The sequence below is a fragment of the Homo sapiens genome, chromosome 10 (genome assembly GCF_000001405.40).
Source record: "Homo sapiens chromosome 10, GRCh38.p14 Primary Assembly".
NCBI classification, from domain to species: Eukaryota; Metazoa; Chordata; class Mammalia; order Primates; family Hominidae; genus Homo; species Homo sapiens.
In genome coordinates, this window is record NC_000010.11 from 91,236,668 (window position 1) to 91,249,056 (window position 12,389).

The 12,389-nt window shown below is 37.1% G+C and overlaps 1 protein-coding gene across 16 annotated transcripts in view, besides 1 other annotated feature; it reads left to right on the top strand.

Annotated features, from left to right (window-relative positions):
* The window catches only part of PCGF5 (polycomb group ring finger 5), a 128,119-nt gene that overhangs the window by 80,449 nt on the left and 35,281 nt on the right, over positions 1-12,389 (top strand). For 10 of the 16 annotated variants that reach the window (XM_017016776.3, XM_017016777.3, NM_001257101.2 and 7 more), the window contains exons 3-5: positions 3,817-3,913; positions 11,838-11,893; positions 11,998-12,057. In XM_017016776.3, the coding sequence (XP_016872265.1) occupies positions 3,817-3,913; positions 11,838-11,893; positions 11,998-12,057 (213 nt within the window). The remainder of the gene's footprint in view (positions 1-3,816; positions 3,914-11,837; positions 11,894-11,997; positions 12,058-12,389) is intronic. The other 6 variants (XM_047425846.1, XM_047425849.1, XM_047425848.1 and 3 more) reach the window with 1 other exon arrangement.
* Positions 11,162-11,344: a silencer, noted in NCBI's record as "fragment chr10:93007586-93007768 (GRCh37/hg19 assembly coordinates)". NCBI's record gives its function as "represses an EF-1alpha promoter that drives an FKBP-Casp9 reporter gene in an ReSE screen in HepG2 liver carcinoma cells {active_cell/tissue: HepG2}" and the evidence as "EXISTENCE:reporter gene assay evidence [ECO:0000049][PMID:32094911]".

A 12,389-nucleotide genomic window follows, 5' to 3' on the forward strand; every position in this document is an offset into this window, starting at 1 on the left:
TTATAAACTAAGAATTAGAAGTGAGTTTTGTAGTGATGAGAAGTTTTTTAAGCATCTATGGGAAACCAAATCCTCATTTTACTTTTTCCAGTTTCACCGAGCTTCAAGCCTGGATTTCCTCAGGTTCTAATTTATGTAAGGTTGTGCTTTAACAGTTTTTAAAAGCCATGTGGGAGATGTATCTTCTAGAGATTTTTTTAAAGGAACAAATAAGCTACTGAAAAGGGCTCTATACAGTTTAAAAGGAGATCTAATTGTACAAGTAGACATATTTAAGGCTCCTAAAATAAGGAGTAAGACATTCTTTTTCTATATATCGTAGATCTATGTAAATAAAGTGTGAAGAAAATGTATCACACATACATTGGTTAACAAAATGGATTCAAATATTGGTTTTAACCACTAACTAGCTTCATAATTTTAGACAACTTGCTCAAATTCTCTACTCATTTTTTTATCTATAAGAGGCCAAATGCTATCTAATTAATAGGAATGTAGTAAAGATTAGATTATTAAATTGTATTGAATTAAATATATGTTGATTAGGACATACATGGACATAGTATGTTGGATACATGTGCATATTTAAGATAATGCCTGGTACGTAAACCCATTAAGTGTTAACTATGATAATAACAGTATATCATCCAAACGAAAAACAAAGCAAGTCAGAATATTACATTGTTCAGCATCTTAAAGTTGTCTTTTACTAAAACTATCTGAAAAAAAATTGTCAGGAAAGACAGTTTTTGGTATTAGTCTCTGAAAAAATGCTTTCAAAAATTCACATCAACGCTGGGCGCAGTGGCTCACGCCTGTAATTCCAGCACTTTGGGAGGCCGAAGTGGGCAGATTACTTGAGGCCAGGAGTTGGAGACCAGCCTGGCTAACATGGCGAAACCCCGTCTCTACTAAAAATACAAATAATTAGCCAGGCATGGTGATGGGCACCTGTAATCCCAGCTACTAGGGAGGCTGAGGCAGGAGAATCACTTGAACCTGGGAGGCAGAGGTTGCAGTGAGCCGAGATCGCGCCACTGCACTCTAGCCTAGGCGACAGAGTGAGAATCCATCTAAAAAAAAAAAAAATTGCATCAGAAAACCTGAATTTATGTCTTTTTGCTGCCATTCACCAGAATAGGCAGGTGACTGGGCCTATTGAAACCTCTTTTTTACCAGCAAAAGTGGAATAAGATACTGCATCTCAGTTGTTGGTGTGAAAATAAACTCACCTCTTGATAGGAGGGATTCTGTCTCCATCTAGAATAGCACCCTTTGGTAGAGATAAAATGTGAGCCATGTGTATAATTTAAAATTTTCTAGTAGCCACACTAAAAAAGAAACAAGTAAAATTAATTTTAATAATACATTTAACCCAATATCTCTAAAATATTTTCATTTCAAAATGTAATTAATATAAAATTATTGAGATTACCTGTTCAGGTTATGTCTGAAGTCTAGTGTGTATTTTATACTTACATTACATCTGAACTTAAACTAGCCACATTTCAAATGCTTAGTAGCCACATGTGGCTAGTGACTTCTCTATTGGCAGTCCAGATCTAGAATATAGATTAGTATTCCCCATCACTGTTCTTGGGTACTGGTGCTGCTTTGACTTTAAGCAATTAGCATAACTTTACTCTTTAATGTATGCACCTTTGGATGCTTGAGCCCTACAACTCTTTCATGAGCAGCCTAGCTTAGTATAGCTTCTGGGAAGATAGGGTCCTACCCTTAGCCTTTTGGCTGATCCAGGTGAGGACTTGTTCTGGGCATGTCACATACCTCTCTATTTGGTCAAGCCTGGTAGACAACCAAGGATTGCCAACCCGTTGAGTACAATAAACCTTTTGAACTACAAAGATCAGAGCTCCATGTCAGGATCAGGCTTTTAAAATCCCTCCACTCTCATTTCTTTCTTTCTTTCTTTCTTTTTTTTTTTTTTTTTTTTTTTTTTTTTTGCCTCTTTCCCAAATTTCAGAGACTTATCTATCATCCCTGGGAAAAGAGCAAATACCAGCAATGTTCTGAAGGAATTCAGCTTCTCTGTCTTCTACTTCAACTTGGCATAATAAGGCAGTCCTCTCTTCCCAAAGATTATTTTGACTTGAGAAGACATTTAGAAACCCTTTTGGGGACAAGAAATTTGGGAAGAAGGCAAAGTATTCAATTGTACATAATAGCTCTAGGCCAAGCTTTTATATCTAAGCTTTTTCTTTTTTTAAGGTTTTCTGATACTGTCTTTTACCCACATTTTGTGAGAATTGTCATGAAGGCAGTGTTATCCTAATAGCTGTGTGTAATGGTGAAAAGAGAGAGTATGGGATTCAGGTACATTCATCCAACAAAACTGCTCAAATGTCACCAACTTAGGGGTCGCTAAGGGGTCCTATCCTGATCACTTTATTTAAAATAGCTGCCGGCTCCCAGCACCCTGTCTCTATCTTATTTTTGGGGGGCGGAGGGGGAGGCAGGTAAAAATACCACTTATCACTAACTAAAATTGTTTGTTTGCCTTCCTAAATAAAGTATAAGCTCCATAAGAATTTGGGCTTTGTTTTGTTGGCCCCTGCATCCCCAACTCCTAATATAATGTCTAGCATTCAGTAAATTCCTATTGAATCAATGAATAAACAAACAAGAGGAAATGCTGCTAATCTCTGTATGTACTAAATGATTTTAAAATTAGATACCTGGTAGAGTTCTTCCATGACCATTGTTGCTTTGGTCAGTATATGTGATATGTCACATTTTCAAACCTAATCTCATTTGTAAGAATCCTAGTGTTTAGTTTTGACCAATCATTTAAGTAAACTTTTAGATAGTGTTGATCTTGAGGAGAAAGAAGTAGCTTGAAATGCAGCTGTGAAAGGGGAGTAGGAGAGCCAATCTATACCATGTGAAAATTTCAGGTTATACGGGGTAATAGAATGGAGGAGGAGTATTAGGATGAGGAATTGAATTAATATTTTATAGTTCAGGTACTGTAAATATTGTCTAAGGTTTTGGGGCAAAACATTGGCATAGTATGTAGTAGAAGCTTAGGTGAAAGATGAGAGAGATTTATAGCCAGAGAGATTAGTAGTGTTTGTAGGAAATGTGGGCTGTATAGGCTTGTGGCCCCAAATCCACAAGTCATATTTCCATTGTCTTTGTTTAGAATCTTTATTTGAAATTTTATTTATCCCTGTCAGTTTTTCAGTCATTCTTCCAATTTACCTCTCATGCCTTTGTCCCAACTTGATACCATTATTCATACTTCGTGCTCCATGGAATTATAGTACCTATGAGCAGAAACTCATTACACCCTGCCAAGGCCAGCAAAGTCCATTGTGACTCCCAGTTTGTCCCTGGAGCACCCTGCCAATAAAAGTAATGCAAACAGGTTGAAAACTCTCAAGTTGTATTGAGTTATTTATGTTGCATTTAAATAAATGTTTAGCAAAGGAAATAAATGCAGACTTAGTTTTTATCTTTTTCTGTCCTACTTCTTTAAATGAGAAGAACCTATTTTATGTAAATACACCAGCTTTTTTAGTTTAATATGATGATGAGTAGAGTAGTATTTGGTGTGTGAATGCATTTAAGAAAACAATAAGCAAAATAATTTATGCTTTTTGTTTGTGGCAGTAGACTTTTATTGCAGTTGGGTGTTATTACAGTGTTACAATTGTAAGGTTTTTGAAGCTTAATTAAATAATGATATTCTACTTGTAGTAGGTAGTTTTAAGGTCTGTTTCTAATTACACTTAGTTTAACATTAAATGAGCGTTCATATGATGCGTTTTAACCTAACATCTTCTTTCTTCTTAGTCTGTAAGACTTGTATTGTTCAGCACTTTGAAGATAGCAATGATTGCCCAAGGTGTGGCAACCAAGTTCATGAGACAAATCCATTAGAAATGTTGAGGTAAGGATGTTATATTTTACAGTTCATCTAATTTACATAAATTGAATAGGCTCTTAATTTTTATTGTATGTCATAATATTTCATGTTGTCTTGACTCAGTTAATATAGGACTTATGATTTTCATTTTAAAGCATTTTATTTTAAAGTATTTTATTAAGGAGTATTAAAAATAAGGTTTTACATCTTAAATATTTAAGAAATACATTTCCAAACTAAAAGTACAACTTTCTCTTAGGCTGTAAGAGTGACTTTAGGTTACAGGTATTTTCAGTATTTTAATAGTCCATGTTATGTTGAGCTACATGGTAGTAGAAAGAGGGAGAACTCATAGAAAGACTAATATTAGGACTGTTAATTTTTTAATTTACCATATATTCAAAAAGTATATAAACATTTATGTAAAACCTAAAAGATTTTTTTAAGACTACCATTTACTTACCCCTCAACTTTAGCAGTATAATCATATATATATATAATATATATTTTATTTATTTATTTATTTATTTATTTTGAGGTGGAGTTTTACTCTTGTTGCCCAGGCTGGAGTGCAATGGTGCGATCTCAGCTCACCGCAACCTCCACCTCCCAGGTTCAGGTGATTCTCCTGCCTCAGCCTCCTGAGTAGCTGGGATTACAGGCATGCGCCACCACATTAATTTTGTATTTTTAGTAGAGACAGGGTTTCTCCATGTTGGTCAGGCTGGTCTCAAACTCCCGACCTCAGGTGATCTGCCTGCCTCGGCCTCCCAAAGTGCTGGGATAAAGGTGTGAGCCACCACACCTGGCCTAATCATATATTTTTAAAACTGGAAGTGGTCTATGAGATTCTAATCCAAATCCCTTTATTCCCAATTAGGAAATCTAGAGAAGTGATATGACTTGACTTAAGGTTTCACAGAATACCTCAAATGCCACTTCCCAGCTACAGGCCGTATGTCCTCACCACTAGACCCATTTTCATTTCATTGTTCCCACCATAGCTCTAAGGCAGATCACCTGTGTGATCTTTAAGAAACTACTCGTCTAGAATCCAGTGAAAAGCACAAAAGGGGTCAATTCCGGAGTTAGCTTTTTAGTACTTTTGAACTTAAAAAAAAAAAAAAGAAGCTACTCATCTAAAGATAGAGCTAGATAGTCTCTGGAACCTTTCATAACTCTCTTATCTGTGTGATATTTGCCATCATTCTATAAATCTGGATTTGCAAATCTTACATTTCAGCCTTTTGTTTTTCAAGTTTAATGCCTGTTTGGGATAATTTGTCTACAGGTAAATGTCTAGCCCTGTGGTTTTCAAAGTGTGGTTCCCAAACCATTAGTATCATGTTAGAAGTGACAGGTCTCAGACCACACATCAGACCTGCTAACTCAGAAACTTTGGGATTGGAGATCACTTCGTTTAGCAAGCTCTCTAGGTGATGCTAATATATGCTAACATTTGGGAACCACTGGTCAACTCTGGTCTGTAATTCTGAGTAAGCCTTGTTCTGGTTAGATCTATATCAGTGCCTCTCAACCAGGAGTGATTTTGCCCCCGGGATACATTTAGCAATATCTGGAGACATTTTTGGTTGTCAGATCTGGGTGGGTGCTCCTGGCATCTAGTAGGCAGGGGACAGGGATGCTACTAAGCATCCTACAATGCACAGGATAGGCCCCACACAGCAAAATTTATCCAGCCTCAAATGTCAGTAGTACTGCAGTAAGGAAACTGAATAAAGCAAACATTTTCTCTCAAGTAATTCTTTTCTTAATTTTAAAATAAAAAACTGTTAATATCCAGTTGTAATGAAAGATTATTACCAACTGTTAAAATCTATAATAACTTATTTTTATTAAAATAAAAAACTGTTAATAAAAACAGACAGTTAATAATTATTACCCTCTCTGTTCTTAAAGGGCCACATCATAAGGCAATTTATCTTAATCTTTTGATTCTGACCATTAGATACCTGAAGGAATCCAGTCACTGTTTAATCAAACCCGCTCCCTTGGCTAAAGTATAACATCATATATTTTTTAACTTTTTATTTGGAAATAACTTCAAACTTAGAATCCCCCAAATAAAAGTAGTACAAGAGCCACTTGCATTCTGTTCACCCAGATTAGCTTCTTAGTAACGTTTTATCTCGTTTGCTTTATCATGTGCATATGTGTATTGGATGCTTTATTTTTTTCTGAACTATTTGAGGGTAAGTTACATGTGTCATGGCCCCTTACTCTTAAATGCTTTAGTGTATATTTCCTAAGAATAAGGATATTATATTACATAACCACAGTATGATTGCATTGGTATAATACTTTAACCTAACTTCCATATTCCAGTTTTCTTAATTTAATGATGTCCTTTATAGAGATCTTTTCCTCCTAAAATTCCACCGAAATTACCACAAAGGAATTTTTTTAAAGACATAAACTCAGAGATAATAAAAACAAGATATCCTGTATCTTTGACAGCTGGGATAGCTCCTCATGATAGGTTCTCAGTAAACACTTTTTAAAGGATAAGAAGAAATGGTAGCAGAAGAGATGTCAGCAGAAACTGAAAGCTAGAAAGCAAACTGGTGATGGTGATAGTTGAGCGGACCTCAGAGGCCTGAGTATACCAGGAGACTAAGGAGGTTGTGGGGAGGGGAAGATCTTTACCAAAGTTTCCTACAGCAGGCTTCTTTTTAGCCAAAACTAGGTCACATGACAGCCACTAGGTAAAGGGATGTGGTGGGTTTTGAAATGCTTTAACAAATCATGAATTATCCCTGAAGGTGGCCACATTGCAGCCAGAACATAATTGGATTTTGTTAGCCAGAAATAAGGGGAATTTAGGCTCCTTCATTAGAAGCCTAAATTGCCTGTGACACATGTAGCAAAAAATTTACCTTCTATGTACTTTTTCTCAGTAAGCTATTGGGAGATGTGCTGGAGCATAAACCAAGAAAGAATAAATGACTCTAGCATAGCAGAGAGGTGAAGGGATATGACAGTTGTGCAGCAGGCCTGGGGAACAAGCAGTCTGTATTTGTACTCTCCAGTATGGTAGCAATTAGCCACATGTGGCTCTTAAGCACTTTGGATGTTGCTAGTGCAACTGAGGAATGGGATTTCTAATTTAATTTCAATTAAAACCTGAAGCAGTGTAAATATTTTTCCACTAAATATAACTTTATTGTTCAATAAATAAAAATTACTAAATGTATTATTAAAGATATTTTAATATATAGCAAAACATTAAAGTTAGTTTTATATAAAAAGTATAAAGTACTGGTGTTAATGTTCCTACTAAAAATTTAAAATTACATATTTGACTCACATTATATTTCTATTGGTCATCACTTATATAGACAATAGAAGGAAGATGGAGAGCTCCATGAGGGGAATCATTCATTCAGCAAATATTTACTGGATGCCTGCTGTGTCTGGGCACTATTCTAGGTGCTTGAGGTCCATTCGCAGACAAAATAAAGATCTTTGCCCTTGTAGATTTAATATTTTTGTAGTGAGAGACAGTCAATAAACCATATAATAAGTAATTTATATGGTATGTTAGAAAGTGAAAATTGCAAAGGCAAGAAAGAGGAAAGTGTTGTGAGGTGAGGAGGTCAAGAGTGTGAAGTGGGGGCAGATTGCAATTTTAAATAAGATGGTGATGATAGGCTTCTGTGGGAAAGTGAGACTTAAGCGAAGACTTGGAGACTGTGAGAGGTTAACCATGGATAGGTCTAGGAAAGCATGCCTATTCCAGGTAAAGGGAGCAGCCAGTGCAGAGTGCCTAAGTCAGGAGTGTATCTACGCCTTGTTGGACGACCAGCAAGGAGACCTGGGCGGCTGGGGAACAGTGAGTGAGGGACAGAATACTGGGCAACAAGAGCAGAGAGATCATGAGATTCCAGATTATGAAGGGCCATGTAGGCCACTGTAAACATTTTATCTTTTACTCTGAATGAAATGGGGAGCCTCTGCAGGATTTTGGTTGGAGGATTGATCCGATATGAACATGTTGATGACTGTGTTGAGAACACCGCGCGTATAACAAGGCAAGGGTAGAAGCAGGGAGAACAGTTAGAAAGTAATTGCAATGACCCTGGTGAGCGGTGGTAGCAGTAGAGGGGACAAGAAATGCTCATATTCTGAATATATTTCGAAAGTAGATCCAGCAAGGTTTGCTGGTGGATTGGATATAGGATATGGGATAAAGAAAAGAGTTGAACATGACTTTAAGATTTCTGACCTGAGCAACTGGAAGAATGGAGTTGCCATTAACTGAGTTGGGAAGATTAATAATAGAGCAAGGAAGGGGTAGATCAGGACTTCAATTGTGGACATGCTGAGTTATTCATTTCAGAGAAGAGAGGAAGGTAAGTGGATATATGTGTCTAGAACTCAAAGGGAGAGGTCTGGGCTGGAGAAAAACATTTGGTAGTCTTCAACATATAGAAGGTCTTTCAAACTGTAAGCAGGATGAGATCACTTCAGGGAGTGAGTACAGAGAGGCACGAGTAAAGGACCAAGGATTGAGCCCTGGAGAACTCCAGCATTAAGTGTTCAGAGAGAAGAGGAGGAGCCAGCACAGGAAACTGAGAAGGCACAACCAGTGAGGTAGAGGAAAATCCAGGAGTGTGTGGTGCTCTAGAAGTCAAGTGAAGATAGTATGTATATCAAAGGAGACGGAGTGATCCACCTGTGTCATTTGTTGTTCATGGGTACAAGTAAGGTGAAAACTGAGAATTCATGGTTGGATTTAGCAACATGGAGTTCATCAACTTTGAAAAGAGCACTTTCTTTAGAGCTGTGAGGCCAAAAACCTAACTGGGTTGTTTTAAGAGAGGAAAGGAGGGAGAGGAATTAGCAACAGTGAGTATAGTATTGACAACTCTTTCAAGGAGTTTTGCTACAAATGGGAGCAAAGAAATGGGGTGGGGGGGTGCTGTCAAGTGCAGCCAAGAAGGTTCTTTATTTTGTTTTGATATAGGAGAAATAATGGCGTATTTGAAGGGAATGATCCAGTAGAAAGCAGAAAGTTAATCATGTGGGAGAGTAGGGAATGCAATCTCACAGCCTAAGAGGAGACACTGGTTTTCAGTGGGAGCATTGACAAAAAAAATTGTAGCAACAGGCAGGCAGACAGCGAGTACATGGTGCAGATGCTATAGGTAGGTATGGTGGCCGGGGCCTGTGGAAGTTTGTTTTTCATTGCTTTGACATTTTTCATTGAGAAGAAAGTGTTTGTCAGTCAAAATTAAGGATAGAGGAAAGGGATTTGGAGAGTTAGGGCGAGAAAAAAGCGTGTTGTCCAGGGGAGTGAGAGGATCAGTGCACTTGTGAGTGTAGTATGATTCCTGGCAAACTTAAAGGCATGTTTGTGTTGTAGTTAGGAATTTGAAGGAGTATGGTTGTGTTTTTATCCAGCCATGGGTGCCAGTGCAGAGTTGATGGAAAGTTGGATTTAACCTGAGTTGTACTAAATAATTTTGAGCAAGTAAGAGAGAGACAAATCAAGGGTACATGTAAGGAAGTGATTTAATGACTGACCATAGAACAGATTAGTCCTAAATTGGGCTGGAAGGACAGAAAGGGCATCAAAGTAGTAAGTAATGTTTCAGAGGAAACAGAAATGAAACTAAGTTGGTTCCTGATCTGTTTGTATGTAGTGAGAAGTGCTGTTTTTTATTCACTCCTACTATTAAATAGTCTGGGAAAACTTTACGAATGACCTTGTCTTGAAGAATAAGGTAGCATTGGTTTGGTCGGAGAGTACAGAGAGTATTTGAGCCAGGATGTAAAACATGAGGGAGAAAAATGAATTGGAAAAGACAAGGAATTCTTGGGATAATTGAATAAGCCAGTTGGCTAGAGAAGGGAGACAGTGAGCAAATAGTACCAGTTATGGTTTGTAGGTTGGACTCAAGTTATATAAACACATGAAGTCAGGTAGTAGAGAGAAATTAGTCCTTGAGCAGGGAACTAACACAATCAGATTAGCACTTTAGGAAGATTGATTATGAACATGTCTCTGCTCTGCTCAAAGCAGAATGGTAATTAATTGAAGGAATGGAAGAATTGTTGGGAGAATAGGTGGGACAGATATTGAGAGGGAGCTCTGAATGTGGCTTGGTGAGTAAATGTGTAAATGAAGGGAAAGAGAGAAGTTAAGATCATTCTCATATTTTGAGCTGATTTGGAAAAATTATGGTATCACTTAAAAATTTAGTTTAAAAAAAGCGAGACAATGACTGGGCTACTTAGTATTTTATTGGAGGAGGATAGATGAGACAATCTTGACATAGATTAATAAAAGGAGGTACTTGAAATGTTTAGCATCTGTTGGAAATATGGAACTTGAAATCAGCAGAGATGTGATATATAGTCAGGCAGATAGATAGATGGATAGATGGATAGATAGATAGATAGATAGATAGATAGATAGATAGATAGATAGATAGATAGATAATCTGCCTATATGTTAGTTTTGAAGCCACAAAAGCAGATGAAATCCACAAGGAAGACAGAAAAGGTCAAAGAGTTCAGAGTACAAAGCAAGGGAGAATATCAGATTTAAAAGTAGCTGGGAAAAAGAAAAATGCTTAGTAATAAAGAAAGAACAGACTTGAACATTAAAAAAAACAAAGGAAATTTTCAGGGAGGCAGGCAGTGTTAGACAACACTGTCAAACTGCTGCAGAGCAATATAGAAGAAATATAAACTTAAAAAATAATTTTTAAGTTTAAATTTTAATTCTAAAAATTTTAAACCTATTCAATATGGAAGTTATAGATGATTTTGAGAATTCAGTAGAGTAAAAGAAGCAAAACAGAGTATGTGACAGAAATAATGTAGGTTTTATTTTCACATTTTTTTCCAGTTAGAAGGAAAGATTGAGAAACAGAATAATAGTTTGAAAAGAGTTAATGAGTTGAGAAAGGTTTTGGGGTTTTTTTTAAGATGTGAGAAACCTCTATGTGTTTGTAGTCTTGTAGAAGAGTAATGTTGTTGAGCAGGATGAAGGAGATGAGGCAGGAAGGGGGTGTTGTGGGGGCAAGAGAATGGGATTGAAGACAAAAGGCCATGAAAAAGATGAGTTATATGGCAGGAAAGAAAATGAGAAAAATGTCAAGATAAACATTTAAAGTTTTCATTTCAGAAGGTAGAACAATAAAGTGGTCTAAATTTCTCAGAAGAGAGGAATGGAGATTATTTCCTTTAGAGGAAAGAGCCAGAGCTGTGGTAGAGATTTTGAGAATGGGCATATCAGCTGTTGCTGCATAACAGACAACCCCTAAATTGATGCTTGAAAAAGCAAGCATTTATTATTCCTCCTGGTTCCCTGAGTTAGCTGGGTGGTTCATCTGGTCTTGGCTGGGCTCACTCATGCAACTGCAGTTAGCTGTGCATTGGGTAATCTGCTGTGCTGATCTTGGGGGATGGGCTGTCTGTGGACTAGTCTAAAATGGCCTTAGCAGGGCAGCTTGGCTCTCTTCTACGTGGTCTCTCATCCTCCAGCCTTGTTCTCATGGTAGCAGGATTCTGAGAGAGAGAAATAGAGACAAAAGCATTTGATGCCTCTTAAGGCTTAGGCTTAGAACCAAGCAGTCACTTGTGCCACATTCTGCTGGCCTCAACAAGTTTTAAAGCCAGACCGTATTTCCAAGGCAGGGGAATAAACTCCATCCTTAGTCAAGGGAGGAGTTTCAAAGTCATGCTCAAGAGTCTGGATATAGAGAGAGCTGGGGACTGGGACCATTTTTGTTATCAGTCTACTACTGGGGAAGGCTGTAAATAAGTGTGTTCCATGGACAGAAGAGTATGGTATAGTAGATGTGCTAAAATTGTGTATGTATTTTGTAACATGTATAAGATTATACATCTCAGACTATTTACATGTCAGATCTTGGTGTCTTCATTGTTAGTATTTTCTTTCTCCCCCCTTTCGAAGGTTGGACAATACATTAGAGGAAATTATATTTAAGCTGGTCCCTGGACTACGAGAACGTAAGTGGCTCTTTAGGTTCTTGCAGACTTTTGTGTTTTATGAAATCAACACTTCTATTAAAGATTTCATGACTTTTACTTTTATACTCTTTCTTTTAAATTAGAAGAACTTGAGCGTGAATCTGAATTTTGGAAGAAAAATAAGCCTCAAGAAAATGGACAAGGTGACTTTTTCTTATGTCTGTTTCTGACAGCACCTCTTAAACTGGTCAGCTTTTCATAGTTTAGGTGAACTAATATGTCTCTTCAGGCTCACATTTTTCCTGCACAAAATTCATGCACCCTTTTATTTACATTACGAACCTTTTTCTCTATATGAGATTTTATATAAATGAGTGTAAATCTGAAGTCACTTTAGTGAGGGTAATTGGAAATAGAGGAAATTGGACTTTGGGAAGAGAAAAGGGAGATAAAAGAGAAGATTGGCTAGGTGTTTATAGTGGTAATTTCTAGGGAGCTAAAGGAAGCTGAAGTAAGAAATAGCCACAGCTTGCAA